At 37.1% G+C, this 24,829-nt stretch overlaps 1 protein-coding gene and 1 non-coding gene across 10 annotated transcripts in view, besides 1 other annotated feature; both read left to right on the forward strand.

Moving 5' to 3' along the window:
- KDM1A (lysine demethylase 1A) overlaps positions 1-24,829 on the forward strand; it is a 64,222-nt gene that overhangs the window by 9,254 nt on the left and 30,139 nt on the right. For 5 of the 9 annotated variants that reach the window (NM_001009999.3, XM_006710473.4, NM_001410762.1 and 2 more), the window contains exons 2-4: positions 1,748-1,913; positions 15,706-15,765; positions 21,666-21,799. In NM_001009999.3, the coding sequence (NP_001009999.1) occupies positions 1,748-1,913; positions 15,706-15,765; positions 21,666-21,799 (360 nt within the window). The remainder of the gene's footprint in view (positions 1-1,747; positions 1,914-15,705; positions 15,766-21,665; positions 21,800-24,829) is intronic. The other 4 variants (XM_047449677.1, NM_001363654.2, NM_001410763.1 and 1 more) reach the window with 1 other exon arrangement.
- Positions 4,458-4,507: an enhancer, noted in NCBI's record as "active region_356". NCBI's record gives its function as "activates an Ori minimal core promoter by ATAC-STARR-seq in GM12878 lymphoblastoid cells {active_cell/tissue: GM12878}" and the evidence as "EXISTENCE:reporter gene assay evidence [ECO:0000049][PMID:35858748]".
- Positions 15,584-15,651, forward strand: MIR3115 (microRNA 3115). The gene has a single exon (NR_036057.1). It is a non-coding gene; the product is annotated as a microRNA 3115 (primary transcript).

Below are 24,829 nucleotides of genomic sequence, written 5' to 3' on the forward strand. Positions count from 1 at the left end.
ATTTTCATCCATTATCCTGAGACCTATTTCCACAGTTTATCTCAGTCAGTTAGGATAAAGTTTAGTATAATATCATCTACATTTCTGGAGTCTTATTGCAAAGACCCTGTATGAGATGGTCACCTGATCAGGATCATTTAATTGCAACTAGATTTTCAGCTTTTTAGGGGCAGGGACACAGTCATAATTGTTTTCTCCATTGTACCACGTACTCAGTGTTCAGTATTTGAGTAGGTGAATACAATTATTCATGTATTAAATAAGATTCTTAGAGCATGGGTCAGAACTAGTCAGTTCATTCTTCTTAATTTGTGTTTCCATTTTCTAACCCAATCCCTGTTTTCAGTAACACTCTTGTACTTCCAGCAACCAGTCCCCCGCCCCCAAATCCTGTGGTCCTATCATTTAAAAAAAAGAGCAAAAAGACAGTATAAAAACAGCTGGCCATCTAAAGCTATATCAAAGACATTTAGCAAGTTAAAATGTATTACATTCACTATAATCCACAGGACTATTCATCTTGGAAATGTAAAACATTAGATATTTGTGGAAACCATGTTGTCTTTGCTTTTTTTCCACATCTAATAAATTATCTTTTCATGGAATTAATAATAATTAGAATTTTTTAATTGATTCCATAATAATTAGCTGTAGTTTCTTTTATTAGGAAGTCACAATGATGATTTGAGAATGTTCCAATTTTGAAGACTATCTGTAATACCGTATTACACATTTTGGCTAACCAATCCATAATAATCTTCCCTGTCTTACACTCCTTTACCCTCAATGACACATTCACTAAGACTGCTTCCTCTTTTTGCTAATGACATACCTCCCTCTCCTTTATAGCCAGTGTGAATTAGTAGTAAGACCTGTATCCTCCATTTCCACGTCACTTATTCCTTAATTTATCTTATTTTTATTTTTATTTTTTTTGAGATGGAGTCTCACTCTGTTGCCCAGGCTGCAGTGCAGTGGTGCGATCTTGGCTCACTGCAACCTCCGCCTCCCAGGTTCAAGCGATTCTCCTGCCTCAGCCTCCCGAGTAGCTGGGATTACAGGTGCCTGCCAACACACCCAGCTAATTTTTGTATTTTTAGTAGAGAAGGGTTTTCACCATGTTAGCTAGGTTGGTCTCGAACTCCTGACCTTAGGTGATCCTCCTGCCTCAGCCCCCCAGAGTGCTGGGATTATAGGCGTGAGCCACTGCACCTGGCCTCTCCTAAGTGAATTTTTAAAGCAAATGCACCTTTTCATAGTTTCAGTTTGACTGTTGTTATTTTCCACTCCATGCCCTCCATTTGGTTTTTGGAATTTTTTTGCTATTTTCCCCTGGAGTAGTAGTTAGAAGCACAGACTTGGCTTTAGACAGACTTGGTATTCTAGTTAACTATATTTTTGTCTGAGGGTCATTTTATTCTTTTGTTGGAAATTCCAGTATGTGAGCATGATACACACAATTAAAAAGGTTTTTGAGGAGTTGTAGAGAGCCTTAGAGTCAATGATTTGAATGTCAGTGCTATGATGTAAAACTTACAGATTAGTTTGAACCTGAACTGACACAAGATTGTTTCATGAGGGCTTTGTTTTTAATAACTACCTATTATGAGCTGCCTTGTTCCTTGTTGTATGCTTACTTCCCTTAAAATGTGAGGTTAACAATTTACATTGACTGATGGTTCCAAATAGAGTCCCTAATTTTAAATGTTCACTGCATTTAGCTTTCCCTGGTATGATCTCCATATAGGTAGAGTACAGAGAGATGGATGAAAGCTTGGCCAACCTCTCAGAAGATGAGTATTATTCAGAAGAAGAGAGAAATGCCAAAGCAGAGAAGGAAAAGAAGCTTCCCCCACCACCCCCTCAAGCCCCACCTGAGGAAGAAAATGAAAGTGAGCCTGAAGAACCATCGGGTGAGTTGTAGTATCCAACCACAGTTCTGTTTTATCTTAGAAATAAGAATGAATGGATTTATTTCCATTTTGCAATATTATTTATGTCTTTATCTTTGGTTTATAATAAAGTCTGATATTGAGTCTCCTGCCATGTGTGTCTTTGTGTGTGTGTATACATATACATGTATATGTGTGTATGTATACACATAGATACGTACATACTGGTACTGATACTCTTTTTGTGTGTCTGTACATATACAGGAGGAAAGTAAAGGGTGGGAATGGAAGGACAGTGGCAATATAAGGTGGTTGGAAAGTAGGAGAAAATAAATGATTAGAAAAAACATACAGAAAGCCATATCCAAAGCACCAGACCTCTCAATGACAGTTCTGATTCAGAAATTGTTCTGGCTAAATGATGTGTTTACCACGTAGTTAGATACTTTCTGATAAAACTTCCACGGTGTGGATCGGTTTTGAGAAGTGCCTTTTCCTGGTGAACAAATGTAAAAATATATATAGGCCAGAAAATCTAGAAAGATTATGGGAGTCTATAGTTTTGGTTTCAGAGCTTCAAACAGCTTTAAAGAATTCTCACTAACATCCCCTCAATGCTGAGTACTAGCTTTCTGAGGATGGCTGGACCAATCAGGGATATCTGCCTTTCTGTTTTGGAGAGACCAAGCAAAAGCAGTATTTTAATGAATTTTTGTATCTTGTGCCCTTAATGACATTTTATTTACTCTTTTTGACTTTGAATTTTTACTAAGTTCCTCTTCTTGAAATAATTTTTATGTTTCGAATAGCTTCAGACCCACACACCTCTCTGGTTCTTTTAGTCCTGTACCTTTTAAAAACAAAATGGTGGTTTCAGACCCCATCTGCTATATCTTGCATGACTTTCGTAGGTACCCAGATTAAGACATACTTCATTTGAGATGTTTTATCTTTTGTTTTAGCCTTTTTTTTTTAAGGGTTTTCTCCCCTATGGTGTTACTGTGAATTACCAGAAGCAGTACTGATGCTTCACTTTAGGGCATTACCAGTCAAGTGTTAACTTAGGTTTGGAGCTTATCAAAGTCTGGCTAAAACTTAAAAATCAAATTTATAATTTATAGGATTGTAATAAAGTGTACTAAAGGAATACAGTTTGAGAACATTCAGAAAAAGATTCTGGTTTCAGTTCATTCAAAAGTCAGGGATTTTCTAAGAAGAGTGGTTTTCCTAAAACTTTCTTAAAATGATTTCTTGGGCAACTCCTTGTTTGAAGGTTTCTAGTTTCAGTAGTATATTACCTTTGGGGCTAATGTCCCAGGCAAATGTAGCTGCCTTTTTACTTTACACCTCTCGTTATTCATTTTTCTTCTTCCTCTTTCTAGTCTTATACATTTAGCTCTCTTCCTTCTGTTCTTACCTCCAACCTTTCCCTTCACCCTGTGCTCTTTTCTTCTGTGTTCTTTTTGGTTCTTACCTTTCTTCTACCTTTGCTGTAGACCTGCTAATGAGATACTTGGGGATAACCCTTTTAATGTCTGCGGTGGCTCAAGAGTGGGCTGACTTCTTAGTTCAAGGGCTCTAAGTACTACGCATTGATGATCTGATATCTCAGATGCTGCCTCACCTTTTTTGTGTGGTTGTGTCTCCAGTAAATAATTGATTTACCATAGGTTCCAAGTTGATAAACGTTTCTTTGAAAATTTTAAACCATGTGTTGGTGTTGCTGTTTGCTTTTTTCTGAAAGCTTTTTTTTTTTTTTAATTTCATAAACGTCAGGTATTGTTCCCACAAAAAGTAAACGTCTTAGCAAAAGGATTTAGGATTTGGGAGCTGTCTTTATTGTGTTGTAGTTAATTATAATGCAGTGGTTTAGTTTAAGTTATCTTTGTTTTTGGGGGGACGTTAAAATTTTAAGTTGAGGATATCTTCAATGCTTAGAAATGTGCTGATAACAGCCAGAACTTACTAATATATTATTTGTGGTTATGAAAATAGTGATTCTTCCTTTAAAACAACTTAATGTTTTTTTTGAAAATTTCTGGGGTGAATTAGGGATGTACTTTCCCTAGAAAAAAGTGTCAACTTACTAGCCTAAACTACTTATGTAGTTTAGCAATAGATTGGACCCTGATGGTGAATCATAAAATATTATCAGGTGAGTTAAATATTTGGACACTGTGCAGGGTTTCTAAGTCTTTTGTCTTTCACAAGAGTTTTTAGTCAAAAATTGAACGGAAGCATTGCTATATGACTATATTAAAAGCTTGAGAGAAGATATAGGTTTGTTTCGTTTTGATATTTTTGGAGACGGAGTCTCGCTCTGTCGCCCAGGCTGGAGTGCAGTGGCATGATCTCGGCTCACTGCAACCCCTGCCTCCCGGGTTAAGCAATTCTCCTGCCTCAGCCCCCTGAGTAGCTGATTACAGATGTGCGTCACCACGCCCAGCTAATTTTTGCATTTTTAGTAGAGACAGGGTTTCACCATGTTGGCCCACCTTGGCCTCCCAAAGTGCTGGGATTACAGGCATGAGCCACCATGCCTGGCCTGTGGGTTTGTTTCTCTACCAAACCTTTTCTTGTTCTCAGTCTTTTTAAAAGGCAATCACTAGAAATTATTCTGTCAAAAAATATAGGTTAGGGCCAGGCGCGGTGGCTCCCAGCACTTTGAGAGGCTGAGGCAAGCGGATCACCTGAGGTCAGGAGTTCGAGACCAGCATGGCCAACATAGTGAAACTCTGTCTCTACTAAAAATAGAAAAATTAGCCAGGTGTAGTGGCACGTGCCTGTAATCCCAGCTACTTGGGAGGCTGAGGCAGGAGAATTGCTTGAACCCGGGAGGCAGAGGTTGCAGTGATCTGAGATTGTGCCACTGCACTCCAGTCTTTGTGAGAGCAAGACTCCGCCTTAAAAAAAAATCCAAAAAACAAAACAAAACAAAAAAGTAAGGTTTGCATACATTTCATTCTTACCAACTTTTAAATTTGTTTAGAAATTTTTGCTTTGCTTTCTGCAGTGTGTTAATCTTAACAGGAAGTAAATATTTTGTTAATTATGAAAGCACAAGGTATTCTGAAGTCAGTGGGTCAAATTGACTGAATAAGGTTCCTCTGGGAGAGTACTGAGAGGAAGCCAGAATGGTGGGAGCCATATTGTGAATAGCCTTGGTTGACTAAGCCAGGCTAAGGAATTTGAGCATTAGGAGTGTCAGCGGTAGCCCTGAGGTTTTTTGAGCAAGGGGGGTTACACTGAAATATGTTTTTGGAAAGACCAATCTCATGCTAAGCGTGAACTAAAGGAGTAAAGAAGCTGAGATTGGAGAGATAATTTAGGCTATTGGTCAATGGAAAAATGTTCTTAATATCAAAGTTGAATTTTTATGGAAAGAAAAAGTTTGGGTGTTTTTGTCTGATTGCACTTATATAATTGGAAGGAAGTTCTCTCTGTTGACCTAAATATTGTTTTTAGATTTATCAATTTTTGACCGTAAGTTAATGTGATATTGTAGTCCTATGGTAGTCAAAATGGGTAAATAATGGATTTTTCATACCAAATATTACTGTTTATATTTAAAAACTACCTCATTTTGTTTTCCTAAATATTTCCATGCATTTTTATACTTACTATACTTTTGAATATATTTGTTTTAACACATGATGGTTTTATTTGGTTTCCTAGTACCTTTTCTGTGAAGATGAAAGTTTTTTTAGGTCATGCCAACTAAACTTGACAGGTTGTCTTTGGAATTGAGTGTGTTTGGTTACTAGCAGCGTCACATAATAGTGGAGCGTTTATGAAATAGAGTCAAATCTCCTTCAGTTGGACTTCATTGATTTAGAATAATTGTCCCCCAGTAAAGTACCCTTCTGTTTATTGGAGAAATGCCTTTCCTGTCTTTGCTCAGATTGTTACCCTGTGTACCTTACATTATTTTCCTCAATGAGTTTTGCATTCCTGTATTAACTGATTCTCCAACACTTACTTGGCTTTTTTATTTTCACATGGAAACATGACTCCATTTTTTTTTTCCCTCCACTGCCTTTCAGCAGTCAAATTTTACCAGAAAAATCTTACTAGTTAGTTCCTGGATTTAAATTGTGTATTGGGTAACTTTTCACTAGAGAACTCAAGATACATTCTGAGTTAGAAGTAGCTTAGTTGTACATAGCCTGAGACTTTCATGGAAAGTTATTCTAAAATAAGTAAAAGGAAATTTGAAATGGGTTATTAAGATGCCTTTCTTAAGCCTTTTTCAAGTTAATGGATTTTTCAGTAGAGACATCAGAAGTGTGTGTGTATATGCATGTGAGTGTGTGTATCATTTTTCTAGGCTCCTTGATGTCCTAGTCCTTAAGACTAATGAAGCCCAGAAGCTTCCATTAAGTCATTGGTTAACTCTTCAAATAGATTTTTTTAGATGTGATTGGTAACAAGTCTGTATTATAATTTATTTTATGGAATGACCATGGGAAGAATCACTTTATCTCCTTGTTTATATTCTTATTTGTACCAGAGGAAGCCCTCTTCTCTATTATATGTGGTAATTTTAAAAGTTTGTAGGTGTGTGTTTTAAAGAGATGTAGGCTGTTTTTGTTTGTTTGTTTGTTTTGAGACGGAGTTTTGCTCTTGGTGCCTAGTCTGGAGTGCAATGGCATGATCTCGGCTCACCACAACCTCCGCCTCCCGGGTTCAAGCAATTCTCCTGCCTTAGTCTCTCAAGTAGCTGGGATTACAGGCATGCGCCACTACTCCTAGCTAATTTTGTATTTTTAGTAGAGATGAGGTTTCTCCGCGTTGGCCAGGCTGATCTCGAACTCCTGACCTCAGGTGATCCACCTGCCTCAGCCTCCCAAAGTGCTGGGATTACAGGTGTGAGCCACCATGCCCGGTCAGGCTGTTAGATAAATTAACAAAAATCATTGATGTGAGAGAATGGTAAGATAAGAAATTTTGTGTGGTTTTAATAAATTTGGGGGCTTGTTCACATAATAATCATACTGTAGGTTGAAAATATTTTTTAAATTTACCTAAAAGGTGATGTTAACCTGAATTAGTAAAAATACTAAATTACAGAAAATACACAATGTATGAGTAGAAGAATTTAAAGAGTCAATGAAATTTGATCACAAATGCTGTTATAATGAAAATTTCATATAACAAAAGATTGAGGACCAAAAATTTGATGAATTATTTAGTAGAGAAAGTATTAAAAGGCAGAATCTTCTAGAGTATTCTATAGAACTTGGTATAATAGAATTTGATCAGAAAAGAGTTGAAGATTGTCTTACTTTAAAAGAAAAAAAATAAGTGGTACTAATATTTTCACCTTATATTAGGGTAGTTCTTTGTTTATAAGATACCCTGATCTCTTCCCTGTGAGGCAGTCATACTGAGTGCAGTCTGGTGGTTGCCAAGCACTGAGTTTGGCAGCATAGATAGTAATGGCCAGAGTTCAGGTGAACCACTTTGTTTTTTTTTAATCATGCTGTAACTATTCTCAAGTGGCTAATCCCAGGCTTTTCTCTCTGATTTCTCTCTCCATGCCTGCAAATGGAGCCAGAGAGAAGGACTAGCTTTCAGGTTTAGTGAGGATTGACTCAGATTACCACCACAGGGAAGATGATAGGATTCTATTACATCCCCAGGCCCAGCAGGAGACCCTGTTTTGTAGGTTTACCAGAAGTGACTAGGGAGTTCATTCCTGACGGGGTTGTCTGTGTTGTCATTTTGACATGCTAGTGTAAAATAAATGCCTGAAATCATTTGAATTCTCATTTTATGAAGTATGATGCATACATTCAGAAAATAGGCATAGGGTTAGTTTTCTTGCCACGCCCCCCCCCTCCCCCGCCCCCTCACCACTCCAGCCTTTTTGGAACACATTTCGGTGTTCTGATTTGGACCTATGCTCCAAAATACCTTACTGGAGGGCTGAGGGAAGAAAGTGACAAGCTGAAAAGGTAATTCAACAGAATTCTTATGTTCTTATATTTTGAGGCATTATGAATGGATCAAGATAAATACGCTATACAACACACGGTCCCCACTCTCAGATAATTTATAGCCTAGTATGAGACACAAGTGTAGACATAAATGCATAATGGAAAGCAAAAAACTCTTAAGTGTGATATCAATATAAAAATTCTAGAGGCATATAGAGGTAGGAAGGGTGAAGAGTAGAGAATTGGTAGTATGGAGGGCAAATTTTTTAAAAAATAGGCATTTTCTACAAAAAAATAAGATTCCCCCAAATGTAGTAGTTCCTCATTGACTTTATTCTACAAATATTATTGTACGATGATAATTATTTTGTCACAGTCACAGTGCTGGATTCTAAGGGTTCAAAGAGAAAGAGTACATCCACCTGCAAAGAATTTGTAGTCCAGTGGCCTGGTGTGGTGCATGCCTGTAATCCCAGCACTTAGGGAGGCCGAGGCAAGGGGATCACTTGAGGCCAGGAGTTTGAGACCAGCCCAGCCAACATGGTGAAACCCCATCTCCACTAAAAAAAATATATATACACACACACACACACACACACAAATTAGCCGGGAGTGGTGGCTTATGTCTGTAATCTCAGCTACTCAGGAGGCTGAGGTACCAGAATCACTTGAACCGGAGAGGCAGAGGTTGCAGTGAGCTGGGATCGTACCACTGCACTCCAGCCTGGGTGATAGAGTGAGACCCTGTCTCAAAAAAAAAAAAAAAAAAAGTGCAATTCAGTTTAGGGTTACAGATGTTAGTAAGTAGCTACAATGAAGAAACTACAATAGAAATGTATAGAAAGTATGGTGAGAACTCAGAAGTTTTTATTTTTTTAATTGATAAATAAGATTGTATTTATCATGTACAGCGTGATGTTTTGAAGTATAAATACATTGCAGAATGACCAAATTTAGCTGATAAACATGCATTACCTCACATGGTTATCATTTTTGTGGTGAGAACACTTACCCACTTTCTTGGTATTTTTCAAGAATACAATGTATTGTGATTAACAATAGTCACCATGTTGTATAATAGCTCTCTCAGAAGCTGTTTTTAAATAATGTTTCTCCCTAAAATTGGGTTTTGGAAATTTTGTGTTAAACATGAAAGGATGAAGCAGTTTTAGATCCTTGATTTTTAACTATTTACTGCTTTTGGTCGATAAGAACCCTTGAATCAGATGCTACAAGTTTATGTTTGGTCTTTGAGAGATTGACCTGCTTTTCTTAATGATGTCATTTCATTGATTTGTTGTACTTTTTATTAAGGCAAAATAGTAATTTGTTTAGCTGATCACCTTTATTTTTATAATTTATTTGAATTCTTTTTGTTGCCATCATTTATTGGGTCTGATCATGTTGTAATAGAAGAACAAGATTTGTAAGGATTTTCTCGTCTACAAAATGAGACTTGTTATGAGAATCAAATGAGAAAATGCGAAACCCACCTTTATGTATAAACATCTTGTATTTATTAAGCAGAGTTGATTGAACAAAGAATAGGGTGGATTGGTGTTTTATTTAGGAAAAAAATCAGGGCAGCTTTAGACCAGACAGACACACATACTGTGTTACTTTGGGAAAGTGTTTGTGGTGGGCCATTTTCAGTAATGAGTCGATTATGAAATAGATAACTTTTTAAGCATCTGGAACTGTTTGTGTGTGTGTGTGTGTGTGTGTGTGTGTGTGTGTGTAAAACTTAAATCTTGATAATAATCTTTTAAGTTAAATCATGAGAATGACAGACTTTGGGACTTTCTAACATAGTTTTTTTTTCTTTCCTTAAGAGAATAATATAATTGAAATTCTTGCATCGGCTGTTGAGTTATAAGAAATGTTTTGTAAGCTTTGTTATTAACCAGACACACCTTAAGCTTGGTAGTTGGACACATAACATCTGAATTGTAAGCTTTCTCTGGAACATTTTGAAAAGTGAACACAAACCAAGACTGCAGCAAAATAAGTAAGGATCAGGAAAATTTCTACTATGGAATGTGGAGGGAAATAATATGTGAAAAAGTAAATTCTTTCCATTGGCTTCTAAAGCTTTGCATTTCTCCCTAGCTTGTAGGGCCTTTTACTTTCTTTTGATAAGATCCTTGCTACTACCCAGTGGAAGTCTTCAAGCACATATCTGTGGTGTTATTGTTCTTTCAGCAGTTCAGTGGAAGTTCCAGGCAAGCTCCTGCTTCAAGCAAAACAATTTTTCTTTTTTTCTAAACCTTAAGAAGGCTGTTTTACTTCAGTATTTTACATGATACTGTAACCCAGGGATTGCTATTCTAGTTGGAACTCATAATTTCATTTTGACTGTTGCTCAGGCTGGTCTTGAACTCCTTGTTGTAAGTGATCCTCCTGACTTGGTCTCTCCCAAAGTGCTGGGATTACAGGTGTGAGCCACTGTCAATTCCTTTTTGAAACTGTGACTTTCCTTATGTTCATGAGATTAATCATGCATTTATGACTGCTTCAAATTATCTGAGCCTATTATTACTTCCATGCTATTTTGAAGTCTTTTAGCCCCATTCTTACTTCTGAGTTCTATTGTTTAATTTCCAACCATCTTTAGAACATTTCCATTTAATTGTATTAGCCAGTCTCCCAAATTTCCCATTTTGTTTGTAGCATTACTAGTCTTCTGAACTTAAAACCCTAGAGTCATCCTGAAAGTTCTTTATCCCTTTTACCAAGTCTGTTGTAAAGTCATGCATCTTACTGTGCAGTCTTTTTCATTTTTTAGGCCTTACCCATTTTTACTGTCACCTTTTTCTAGTGAATTTCAACTTGTATGTAAATTATTTCAATAGCCTTTGAATTGGATCTCCTTTATCTAGGTTTTCCCTCTAATCCATCTCGTACAAAGTGGCCAGATTAGTTTAACTAAAATAGCATTTGTTTTGTTGTCTTTGTGCCAAAGATCACACACTTTTCCTTCATTACTACTAAAATCACGTTCAGGTTTGGGTACTGGAAAGGGATCATTTTACCAATCCACTTGATCTCCCACTGCTTTTTCAGACCATCTCCTTCTGAAAGTAGGTACCGAGCAGTCCTCTGCACATACCATGTCTGTGCTTTTCTCTTTATCTTTGTAAATGATCTGGACCATAGTCGTGGTTTCACTGCCTCGCAGTCTATCCAGATCTCTCGGGAATTGTTCTGAAAGCTTCCCTGATTCTCCAAGACTGTGTCAGCTTCTCGTTTCTTAACAACAAAAGTTTCCTTGTAGGTATTTTTCATCTTTTCTCAACTAGATTATAAGCTTTTTGAAAACAGAGAGTCTACCTGTTCTACTTTTGTATTTGTGCTTTGCAGTTTTGGGGCAGATACGGTAAACACTGATTATTAAATAAGAAACTCAATTAGTGCGTTAATACGGTAGAGACATATATTCCAAGTTGGCTTTAACTTTTGAAATGTTTCTTTCACCTGCTAATTTATTAAATTCAATTGAAATCAGTAGGTTGGCCTTCACTTTTATTCCATAAATTTGGCCATTTTGGTAAATTTATCTTCTATTGGAAAATCGTTGCTTCCTAGATTTAGAAGTTTCTTAAAATGTTTGTAATTTGAATGTGATTCCAAGAAACTAGTCAAAATGTGAATCTGTGTTTCTGGAAACAACCAACCAGTGATTTTCACCTCCTTGTTTGTTTGCCAGATAAAAGCATTTGAAAGTCAACATAGACTTCCTTTTAAGATGTTGGAAGAGTGATCTCTTGAGTATTTGAATTCAGATGAGAAAACATTCAGTAATGTGATTATAACTACAACACTTCACGCTTCAAGAAGGACTCTTAGATCTGAAGGTCTAGAAGACAACTGAAAGGCTGTTATGTAAGATAAATCAAAAAGATCTTCATTTTCAATTTGGAGTAGCTGTGTACAAATAAGCTGTATGAAGAGTCTCTACTTTAGGCCGATTGTGGTGGCTCACGCTCATAATCCTGTTGCTTTGAGAGGCTGAAGTGGGAGGCTAGGAGTTCAAAAACAGCCTGGGCAACATATCGAGAACTCGTCTCTACAAAAAAAAAAAAAAAATTAGCCAGGTATGGTGGTACATGCCTGTAGTCCTAGCTACTCAGGAGGCTGAGGCAAGAGGATCCCTTGAGCTCAGGAGTTCAAGGTTACAGTGAACTGTGATTGCACCACTGTACTCCACCCTGGGCGACAGAGCAAGACCTTGTCTCTAAAAATAATTAAAAAATTAAAAAGAGTCTCTGCTTCAAGCTTGAGGACTATTTTGTAGGTTTGGTGGTTTGGGATAAAAACAAAAGGGAGTTTCTTGTGTAGTGGTGCCAAAATCAAGGTGATATTACAAAGTTGCTTTTGAATATTTTCATTTTCTGTTTTGAATTTGCACTCATGGAAAGCTAACAGCGCTACTTGCCTGCTGTTAATGTGTCCTGAGCCACTATCAGAAACAGAGTCCTAGGCTGGAAAGACCCAAAGAGCAGATGAATAAGGGATTTTATATATATCATAATCAGAGACTACTTGGATGAAAAGTTAGCTGCAAGCAGTGTTGTGTATGTGCTGTTTTTAAGAAAATGTTCAAGAATTGGTCTATAATATACTGCTAGTAAAGATGATCTTTCAGTTGTCTTTGGAGAAGTAGGCATCTTCAAAATACTCTCAAGTATGATTGGAGTGAAAATAATAACTTCATTCTTTATTTCCAAGCAAGTTAAACCATTATCAAGAGATAAATAACTTGTTTCTTAATTTAATTTTAAGCACTTTTAAATTTTGTTTTCCATCATTTCTTATGTGGTACCTTCTGCTTGGTTTCTTTCTACTCCTCTGCTTAAATAATACTTTTGAGTTTCTTTTCTTGCTTTTTTTTTTTTTTTTTTTTTTTTGGAGACCGAGTCTTGCTGTGTTGCCCAGGCTGGAGTGCAGTGGTGCAATCTCGGCTCACTGCAACCTCCACCTCCCGAGTTCAAGCGATTCTCCTGCCTCAGCCTCCTGAGTAGCTGGGATTACAGGTGCATACCATAGCGCCTGGCTAATTTTTGTATTTTTAGTAGAGACAGCGTTTCACCATGTTGGTCAGGCTGGTCTTGAACTCCTGACCTCGTGATCCGCCCACCTCGGCCTCCCAAAGTGCTGGGATTACAGGCGTGAGCCACTGTGCCCAGCCTGGAGTTTCATTTCTTTTTTGACATTTTGTTGTTATGGGATCCCTTTTAAAAATCTTTGCAGGGTATTGAATATTTTCTACATTTTCCTGCATTTTTTTAAATTAAAAAAAATCTTTTTAAGAGGTTTTTTAATTCCTTTCTTCAAAACCAGAAGACAAAAAAGACTGCCTCGTTGCCCTTTTGTCCTGGTTAACCTATTGAGTACGCAAGTCAGGGGTAAGAAATCCATCTTTTTTTGTGAATCAAAGCACCATTGATTCACACACAAAAATCAGTCAAGAGCTACCTGTAGCTTAAATTAGTGAGTTTATTGTATGACATGTATTATAGTTGGAAAAGAAGGGAAATGAGAGGAATAGGAAAGATAAAGTAATTCAGGCTTAGGCTAGCTTCAAAGTGTGTGTTTTTTGTTTTGTCGGTTTTTTGCTGTTTTTATCTAAGTTTTTAGTGGTGAGATACCTTCATGACAAGAGACTGTCACTTTTATTTTTGCCAAGTCAGAAACATAATTTGAACGATAACAGCTGTATTATTCCTAATCTTAAGTGTGATTCTTGGAAACTATTTGTTTCATTGTTCTGAGTCCCTCCCTGCTCCCTTTCTTGCCCAAATAAAATTCAGTTTTCTGATCCAGCTTGGTTTTATTTGGAACCAAACGAAACAATGGCAACATTTTTTAAAAATCTATGAAATATATTATTTTTTTTTTTTTTTTTTTTTTTTTTTTTTGAGACGGAGTCTCGCTCTGTCGCCCAGGCTGGAGTGCAGTGGCGGGATCTCGGCTCACTGCAAGCTCCGCCTCCCGGGTTCACGCCATTCTCCTGCCTCAGCCTCCGAAGTAGCTGGGACTACAGGCGCCCGCCACTACTCCCGGCTAATTTTTTGTATTTTTAGTAGAGACGGGGTTTCACCGTTTTAGCCGGGATGGTCTCGATCTCCTGACCTCGTGATCCGCCCGCCTCGGCCTCCCAAAGTGCTGGGATTACAGGCGTGAGCCACCGCGCCCGGCCTATTATTATTATTTTGAGATGGAGTCTTGCTCTGTCGCCCAGGCTGGAGTGCGATGGTGTGATCTTGACTCACTGCAGCCTCTGCCCCCCAGGTTCAAGTGATTCTCCTGCCTCAGCCTCCCGAGTAGCTGGGATTACAGGCGAGCACCACCACACCTGGCTAACTTTTGTGTTTTTAGTAGAAATAAGGTTTCACCAAGTTGGCTAGGCTGGTCTTGAACTCCTGACCTCAAGTGATCTGCCTGCCTCAGCCTCCCAAAGTGATGGGATTACAGGCCTGAGCCACTGCACCCGGCTCTACAAAATATTTTTTATGAATAAAGCCAGAATTTACTAAGAGTGAATATATCTGATTTTAAGTTTATAGTAGAGTTTAAAATGTAGGACCTATATTTTCAAGATAAGTTTGCAGATTGGATTTAGTAACCCGATCGTCTCTTCATGATTGTATGCCTTTTTCCAAGGGCTGTAAATAGGTATACCTTGGGCCTTGTCTGAGAAGCATAACCTTCTTGAACCTAAAGGACCCTTCAGACGAGAGCTTAGTAAAATAAGTTTAGAATGAGATTCTATTCTACCTTCATAACAGAGCATGTATCTTCTAGCAACACATTCTAATATCATTGTCAGAAATAATTTCTTATATCTAAGTATCTTTTTATTCTCTTTGTTGTTCCCTTCTAACTCAAATGGTGGAATAATCAATCTGCTTTCTTATTGGGGTACGTATTTTAAAATAAACTTTAATGAAGCTTGTCTGAGTTTATCTAGATCATTGGGAGGTGGTATTTTATGTCTTCCAAAGATCACACTCATTTTCCTATAGTGTACCAGGTGACTAGAAGCTTAAGAGCATCATAGCATCTGTCTTGATGATAGATTTTGGAAGAGTTCAGAAGACAATCTATTCTTTATCAGATTGAATTTTCAAGCTTTGATTCTTTTCTTGAAGTTACTTCTACATATTAATCAGTGAGGAAAATTTCTTAACAAAGCTTATTATGTAGCATGAAGTAGAAGATTCAAGATCTTGCCTGCCTTTCTCTGTGTTACCACAAGTGTGTGTTTATCTACAGTACTTGGCACACACACACACACAGTGTCTTATTGTGTGTTCTTTAGTTTTATTTAGGAAGCACTGGCATATTTAACTGTACTAGTGTCTACTGTGTATAGTAAATGAAACTTCTTTGGAGACTGAGTCTTTTAATTATACTCCTTGCTTTGAAGAGAAGGAGATAATTTTTCATTAAAATTAGAAAGTTAAACGGATATTAAGTTGATGCTGAATTGCAATGCCAGATTCTAGAGTCTATGTCAGCTCCATTTTCAGTCTAGCAGCCGTTAGTAAAAGACACTCGGAATCCATTTTCCCCCATCCAGACTATTAATATTAAATAAGACTGACAGCAAGGATTTAGTGATTAGAAATACTATGTACTTTGTTCCACTGCCTTTCAACAAGAATCAACATGTAAAGTTGAAACTTCCTGACCAGAATTTGGAAGACTATGATGTAATTCCCTGGGCCTTGATTCCAGAAGAAGGAGCTCTCTGAATATGGGTTTACTAGTTGGTGGTGAATTCATGAGTCGCCAACTATTAGGCCTTTATGTCCAGATATTATCCTAATTTATGGAGTAAGGTCCCTGAGTTCTCCTCTTTCCTTCCACAGGGCAAGCAGGAGGACTTCAAGACGACAGTTCTGGAGGGTATGGAGACGGCCAAGCATCAGGTGAGGGTGGCATTAGATGCTTGCCACTTAGTAGCAAGAGCCGCCAAGTAGGAATTGATGCTTGCAAGTGTTTTTGGCTGTGGTATCCACATTTTAGCCAGAAGCGCAGGTGAAATTTAACCCACAGGACATAATAGTATAGTAGGAGAGAGTGTAGTGAGAACAAAGGCAAGCAAAACCTTTTGAAGTCCTCAGGCCGATCTCAGCCCTCCACTCTTTGTGTTTTCGAGGAGATGGCGGGTACTTTTCTCCCCAGCAGCCTTTCTATTAATAGTAAACATGATATAGAACATAGACTTAGGAATCATGGGACCCTTAAAGAGAAATACAGCAGTATACACAGAGAGGAAAAGTCACAGGCTCAAAAGTCTAAAAGCAAAAACAAACGGGACTGAGAGGCATTCTAGGACTAGTCAGAGGAACTATGTGGGCAAGTGACATCTTTTTAAAAATGGTTGTTACAGGGTATTGGGTACCTTTTTTCAGTTAACATTACGTAGTTAATCATTCTTCAGTTTAAACATTTTGTTTCTCATGTGAAAAATGTCTTTTGAAAAGTCTGAAATACTTTTTTCTGTTCAGACCAAACAGTATGAGATTTTTACTTCTAGGAAAAAGTAAAGAATTTATAGGGGCCACCATCTGGAACAGTTAAAATTTATCCCAGCAATCCAAAATAACGTATCTGGATTTCATCCTTTGTCTCTTGAAGGATGTTTTTGTTCCAGTTGCTCAAAGCTGGTTTATAGATACGTTTTGATAGAATTGGAATAGGCACTACTTCACTTTTGGAGGTTGTCACTTTTCAACTGTCTTAAGTCTACTTTAAAATTATTTGTTTTGCAGTTTGCATATAACAGGTCCTGGGACTGTTTCTATTTCACTCTCTTGAACTAAAGGTAGTTCATTGTTAATACAGCAATTAGTAATAAGGGGATCCAGAATGTTAGGAGCAGACTTTTAAAAATGCTGTCCCAAGGATTGCAGGTTGATAATCAGTACATGGTTATCTTAGCAGAATTAAACCCTGTTCAGAGTCTAGATCTGTGGCATATAAACCTTGAAGAATGCTTTTCATCAAATGACGCACAATTAGATCTTCCATGGAACTGTTGAAGATCAGGGATGGCCTTTAGAGTTCTAATCTTGAAGAAAGAAGTTGAGTTTTCTTGTTTTTTGTTTCTGTTTTTTTTTTGTGTGTGACTATTTGCTCTTTTGCATTAAGTAAACAATATCATATATTGCTGAAAGTGAAAGCAGACTTTCATATAAAAGTGTGCTGCTGATTACTGTTAGTAGAACATGAATTTTAAGTGTTTCCAGGAATGATGGTGACTGTTGTAAAACCTTCAAGATCTCTCTTCCAATCTTTGTCACGTTCAGAAGCATGCATTTGTGAAATGATCAATCAGGGTTAGAAATGTGCTTGTAAGAGATCAACATTCTTCTCTTAATGAAGCCAGATGACCCTCATGGGTATCTTGGTGCCAGGATCATATCTTGACTTCTTAAAACCCACCTCAAGTTGGTGTACACATCCTAAATCTTAGAGCTAGAAGAGAACTTGAGGTCATCTTGTCTAACTTCCTGCCTTCAAACAGTATTTTATCTCCCTTATTTTATGGATTAGGATCTGAAACCCAAAGAAGTTAAATAGATTGACCAGCAATACACCAGCAGTTCTGGAGAAGGAGAACCCAGGGATCTTGCTTCTTAGTGCAAAGACTATTCCTTACACCCTTAGAATCCTTTAAAATAGTGTTTACCCTAGAAATTAAAAACTCTGAAGTATAGGAGGTTGTACAATTCTCTTTTCGTTTTCTCTCTCCTCCCCCTATTCCTTATTCCTTTTATTTTAAAACATTCTAGGACTTGATATGATACATCTCTAGTTTTCTCATATTAAGTAAAGTCTTTAATATGTAGATCACCTCAGGCTTTTATTTTCACGCTAGAAATCTAGTTATAGTTATCTACTTGATATAAAAAATTAAAGGCAAGTAACTCTCATGGAGGCCTTCTTTTCTTTGTTAATTTTTATATCTCTATTACCTTACTGCAGTCAAGATGCTACCTATATCTTACACGAATCAAGAGGAAGTGATTTAATGGAATAGAGGACCTGTCATCTCACCTGCCTCTCCCGCTTTTTCTACTTCTAATTAACCTACTTCAAAAGGTCTAAATTATTCCTTCAAATATTTAACTACATTTATTATGTATTCAGAGAAAGTATAAGCCAGTCAGACCATTAGAAAGGGCAGTTCTGCTTTAGAGTGACTGCATTCTGAAAGGTGATGCTGGAATTTCCTGTATAAAGGTGGTGAGCAGGAAGGAACTGAACAGAAAGTAAGACTGGTATTTAGGCAACTTGGAGCTTTTTAATAATTTTTGAATGTTTCAAAGACAACGTTTTGGAAACATTCTAAATTTTCAGAATACCAGATTCCATTACTTAATGGAAAACGCAAACACCAGAGTACAAAACTATCAGAGCCAAGTGTAAATTACTTCTGAATTAATGTGTACTGTTGGTACTTTTAGGATGTTATTAAAATCATTTGTATTCTAAAAGATTTTTCCTCTGAAAGAGATAGGTACTCATGAGTTAGATTATCCAAAATGGTGTCTATTACTTCATTTTGGTACTATCCTATAAGAAGGATGTTTTGATTTAGCTTCTCAACAGTTTAGGTTACAAATTAACATACATTTTTTTTTTCTTTAAGAAAAGGTTAGCTTTTTATCTTGCAGGCTTTTCACCCTGGTTTTGATAATGGTCTTCATTCCTTAAAATAAGTATCCCTAAACACCAAAGGGAAGGAAATAATTATTGAGAGTTTTTAGAGACCATTTTTCATTTTTAAAAATGATATCAGAGTATTGAGAATAGCTAGTTTTCTTAGATGCTGTTTAGAAGATAGAGATGGAGAAGAATATTATTCCAAGCATACATTAATGTCACCACATTTAGTTTCTTTAAATGCCTTTGTTTAAACTTCTGATGTTTGATTTAAAAATACTTTGAAACTGCTGGATGACATATAAATAACATTTCTTAATCATTACATATTCTCAAAAATTCCCCAAATTAGCCAACTACATTAGAGTGATTTTTGATAAGAACATCTGAGGCCAGGCGCATTGGCTCATTCCTGTAATCCTAGCACTTTGGGAGGCCGAGATGGTGTATCGCTTGAGCTCAAGAGTTTGAGACCAGCCTGGGCAACATGGTGAAACCCCATCTCTACAAAATATAAAAAAATTAGACATAGTGGCTTGTACCTGTAGTCCCAGCTACTTGGGAGGCTGAGGCAGCCCAGCTACTTGAGCTCAGGAGGTGAAGGTTGCAGTGTGAGATTGTGCCCCTGCACTTCAGGAGCCTGGACAACAGAGGGAGACCCTGTCCTTCCCCCTGCCAAAAAAAAAAAAAAACATCTGTAGTGAGCAGCCAAATGTACTATAAAATTTGGTATTTTATCCTACATGATTTTTCTGTCATTGAAAAATAGTATTTTGCAGTAGAATGTTCAGTGACTACTTATTAAATGTATAGAAGATAACATAGCTAAGGAAGAAAACTACCATTTTTGGCAGGGAGAAGTGGAATTTAATAGAAATCATTGATTTTCATGTTAATAGTATATACTTATGAATTATACCAAGAATTGACCTATTTAGAGATACTTGGTTGAAATACTCAGGATTTAATGTGTAGATAAGTTCTTTATAATGTGAGTTATTTTTAGTCTTGGTGGTTTTGTTTTGTTTTCAGTTTTTATTTATTTTGATTTGGGAATGGGAGCTGGGGACATCAAAGCCATATAGTTTAGAAAATTTCACATTACTGAAATAAACTGTATCCACAATAGTAAGCATTTCTTCTTTTCTTGCTGTAATTTCATGCTCCACCTACAATATGGCTTTTACTATTTTTTTATTTTTTATTTTTTTTACCCAAGGAATAAATTATCCTGACAGTCTTTAATTTTGGGTATGGATTAGTTAAATGTAAGGATTGTTGATTTGATTTAGTAATGTGAGACACAATGTTTATGTCCTCATTATCTACAGTAGATGGATAGTTTTTTCTCCTGGTCTCTAAGAATAGTATTTCTTAATGTGTGGCCCATGATTGGCATTAGGCGTTTTTGCTTGACCACTTGTTAAACATGATTTTTTTCTAGGTAGTGTTTGCCATTTGAATGTCTTTGTGGAAACAGACTCCTTAATAGCTTAGCTATAATTTTCTAAGTTAACATCTTTACCTGCCTTGTTTTTTTAATTCTCCTAATCTTACTAATACCTTAGCATTAGTTTTGCTTCCATTATCAGTGCTTCCAACTTCTTGTTTTATGTGCTTTAAAATGATTATATATGGGCTGAGCATGGTGGCTCACTCCTGTAATCCCAGCACTTTGGGAGGCTGAGGTGGGTGGATCACTTGAGGCCAGGAGTTCCAGACTAGTCTAGCCAACATGGGGAAACCCTGTCTCTACAAAGAATACAAAAAACATTAGCCAGGCATGGTGGTGCATGCCTGTAGTCCCAGCTACTTGGGAGGCTGAGGCAGGAGAATCGCCTGAACCCAGAAGGCAGAGGTTGCAGTGAGCCGAGATCGCGCTACTGCACTTCCAGCCTGGGCGACAGAGTGAGACTCCCTCTCAAAAAAAAAAAAAAAAAAAAAAAATTATATATGGATATCTGGCGCCTATTTTGTTACTTATATGTAATTACTTAAATGGTATGGAATTTTGAAACTCTTTAAATTGAATCTTGATAGTTTTTATAAGCTGGTGGATAAGTACATCTATAAGGTGATTTTAGAAATACATTTGCATTTATTGTGCTTGTGTTTTTAAGATCACCTAATAAAGGTGTACTTATCCACCAATTTATAAAACTATCAAGACAATACCCAATTAATTGAAGAGTTTGAAAATAACATGTTTTTTGGGAGGTTGAGGCAGGTGGATCACCTGAGGTCAGGAGTTCGAGACAAGCCTGGCCAACATGGTGAAGCCCCGTCTCTACTAAAAATACAAAAAATTAGCCAGGCATGGGAGCGGGTGCCTGTAATCCCAGCTACTCGAGAGGCTGAGGCAGGAGAATCGCTTGAACCCAGGAGGCAGAGGTTGTAGTGAGCCAAGATCGCACCACTACACTCCAGCCTGGGCAATAAGAGTGAAACTTCGTCTCAAAAAAAAAAAAAAGAGAAGAACGTATTTTACTTGCAGTGTATAGTGTATGTATACACTATATGTATATGTGTTATAGATTATACATAGTAATATTAGTAGTATATAGTAAAGCATTTCTAATGTTTCTGCCAGCAAATGTAAATTCCTTGCATTCTTCTGTCTTATTGTTGTCTGCTTAATTTCTCTCACTGCTTGCCAGCGTTGAATTATGATTACTAATGGATGATACTGTTGATGGGATTGTGATTTTCTGCTGTTGATTATTAAAGTCATCTTTCTGTTTCATGCTGTAATCCTAAAAGAAGGCATGTGATTGTGTTTTTCGCTCCACAGCTTCTTTTGCTTTCCTGTTAGTGCATTTTCCTTTATTCTGGTTCTTTAGTTTTAAATTTTATTGTACACCTGTCAGTAGTGCTAATTTTAATTAGATCATCTAATATGATAAAGTTATTTTATGGACAAAGAAACTATTTTAAATGCTTTGTCTTATAAGGTAGTTGTTTCACTCAGTAAAGTATAAACTTTGGAATGTTAAGCTCAAATAAGTGGCTAATATCTAAGGAAGTTTCAGCTTTTGAGACAATTGAAAATTTTTTAAAAAGGTCAGTCTGTGAGTGAGGCAAAGGAATTTAAGCGTCATCACTACCCGTTTTGTATTCACTTGCACTTTTCCTAGATGTCCTTTGCTTTCTTCGTTAGGTGTGGAGGGCGCAGCTTTCCAGAGCCGACTTCCTCATGACCGGATGACTTCTCAAGAAGCAGCCTGTTTTCCAGATATTATCAGTGGACCACAACAGACCCAGAAGGTTTTTCTTTTCATTAGAAACCGCACAGTAAGTTTCCATTTCAGCTTTTTCACCTGGATTATAAAAAGTATATATGGCTTTGATAGAGAATATGGGAAAAATAAAAAGAGAAGAAAGAATTCTAAAATTATCTATAATACTATTATTACCCAGAGATAACCTTTGTTAATAGTTATTTTTCATTTGGGTATTTAAAAAATGTATATATAATTTTTGTTTTCATAAAATTGAGATCCTTCTTGGATACATTCTTTTGGATCCCTTTTATACTTCACAACCTCATAAATACACATTAAGAATATTTATTTAGGCTGGGCGTGGTGGCTCACACCTGTAATCCCAGCACTTAGGGAGGCCAAGGCAGGTGGATCACCTGAGGTTAAGGGTTCGAGACCACCCTGGCCAACATGGCAAAACCCTTTCTCTACTAAAAATACAAAAATTATCTGGGCATGGTGGCAGGCACATGTAGTCCCAGCTACTTGAGAGGCTGAAGCAGGAGAATCGCTTGAACCTAGGAGGTGGAGGTTGCAGTGAGCCGAGATCGTGCCACTGCACTCCATCCAGCCTGGGCAACAGAGTAGAGTCCATTTCAAAAAAAAACAAAAACCTTTAAGCATTAAAAAATAATAATAATAATCACTTTGTCCTTCCCTCTGAAGAGAAATCTTTACCCTGTTCTGCTCATCTTGTTCAGCCTCTTCCTCTGGCTGAATGATTTAACTTCAGTGTCTGCATAATATTTTGTCTGACAGTTGGGTTATAATTTGACTGCTGGACATTTGTTGCCGATTTTGCTTTATTATAATTAACTCTGGACAGTCTTATGCATTCTTGACTCTACCTATTATTTCCTTATGATAGAATTATAGAAGGAAAACTACGTTGTCAAAGGGTTATGAACACTTTTAAATGTTTTGGACATATTGCCAGATTGCTTCCCAGAAAGGCTGAACCAGTCAACCCCTCCCCTCCGCATTGCCCTGCCCATTTTTATTAAAACAGTGATAATCTATGCTCCTATAATTGGCCAAAACCATCTCAGTTCTTTTTCATTTCTTGGATTACTGACTGCTTTTCACATTAGTCATTTGTATTTCTTCTGTAAATTTTTCTTTCATATCTTTTATTCATCAGGAATTCTTATTTAGCCAGAGAGTAAATGGATGAGGGAAAGGTGCTATTCAGAACATGCTCATGTTACTCTAGGGTGGTACAACGCAGAAGAAATTAACCTTGTGATTCAGCTAACTTGAATATGAATATAGCTCAGAGATGTCATTGATATGTCTGCTTTTTAGCCACCACCAGCTTCTTTGTTTTGGCTATTAGATTGCAAAACCACTGCTTAATTTCGATTGTTAAAGCAATTGATAGGTTATCCTGGGTTTTTGTAAAACAGAAAAGAACAGTGAAGAAAAGATGGTGAGTTTTTTAAAAAGTGAACAGAAAATTCTTAGTGTGTAGTCGCTGATTTGTCTTATAATTGAATCAGTTTCTGTGTATAGCATATCAACATTTGCTCTAAGTGGATTTTTTTTTAGACAAAATTGTCATTTTTTTGTTTGTTTGTTTTATCTGAAGAGAGTTTTCACTTTTTACTTAGATTTGAGCGATGGATTTACAGGGATCTCTGTCTTTTCTGATTCACCAAAAATCCAGATTTGGGGAAGGGTTTCCCGATGTTAGATTTGTGGTCTCTGGCTGTGAAACAGAATGTAAATCAACCTCTACTGCAAGAATTTTATCAGTTCTCTAGTCTTAAACTATAATACTTTAAAACTGCAACTTTAGGATTATTGAACTAGACTGTGACCTAAGTGTTATTTTGTAGGAGGAGGAGGAGGAAGACTTGTGTTGGGAGTGAGGAACTTGGGCCCAGTGTGTACTTGAGGAAATCCATTTACCTTACAGTGGCCACAGAGTAGAGTATCTGTGTGGATTTGGTCATAATCCCTTAGTAATTTGGTTTATTTACATATAGCCAAATTAATTTCTTCTTGGTTGAAAGTTGTCTTATAGAGCAGTCTTTATTAATTTTTAGCTAAGACTTAAATATAGTAGTGTTTAGTTTGTCATGCATTTTGCAAGTATATACTCACTTTGAAGAGAATTCATTTTAGAGCCCATTGATTGTACCATATGTTTTTTTATGTCTCATCTGTTTTTTCAGCAGTATTTGAAATAATTGACTGCTCCTTTCTTCTGAAACACAGTACTTCCTTGGATTTGATAACTCAGTATCTGGTTTTTCTCCTGCCTCTCTGGGTGTCTTCTCTGATTGCTTTGTAAGATGATCCTTAACAATTGGCCATTATGTGGACTATTTGGAGTTCCTTCTCCTCTTGCCCTATTTTTTCCTCTAGGAACCCTTCTCAATGCATTTGACTTCAGTTATTACCCATAAGCAGATGACTCCAGACCTTCTCTCTCTTCTGAGCTCCAGACCCTATATCCATCTATTTTATATTTCTTCTTGTTATCTTGGAGCTAAACTCATTATCTTATTTCTTCTTTCAGTGATTCCATTCAGTGTCTGGCGTACCAACTCGCTTAGTTGTACCAAAATGGAGATGTTGTCCTTGACACCTTTCTCCCCAACCTCGACATATCTAGTTGATCATTAGATTTTTGTGGATTTTATCCACTTAGTATCTCTGGAGTCATATAACCCAGGTTTGAATGCTAGTTGCTCCCTTCTAGCTCTATGGATTTGGCAAGTTACTAGGTGGTTTTCTCTTTTAGGCTAAATAACCCCAGCTTCTTCAGTAATTTACTTATTTGATATGGCTTTGTGTTCATCAGTTTCTTTTTCAGGAGTATAACGTCACTGTTTTAATTAAAGGAAAGCCCATGTTTGGGGCCTTAAAGTTAAAAGGATGATTTTATTTATTTTTATTTTTATTTTTTGAGGTAAGCTCTTGCTCTGTTGCCCAGGCTGTAGTACAGTGGTACGATCATGGCTCACTGCAGCCTCGACGTCCCGGGCTCAAGCAGTCCTTCTGCCTTAGCCTCCTAAGTAGCTGGGACTACAGGCATGTGCCACCATACCCAGCC

The sequence above is a fragment of the Homo sapiens genome, chromosome 1 (assembly GCF_000001405.40).
Source record: "Homo sapiens chromosome 1, GRCh38.p14 Primary Assembly".
In the NCBI taxonomy this organism is placed as follows: domain Eukaryota; kingdom Metazoa; phylum Chordata; class Mammalia; order Primates; family Hominidae; genus Homo; species Homo sapiens.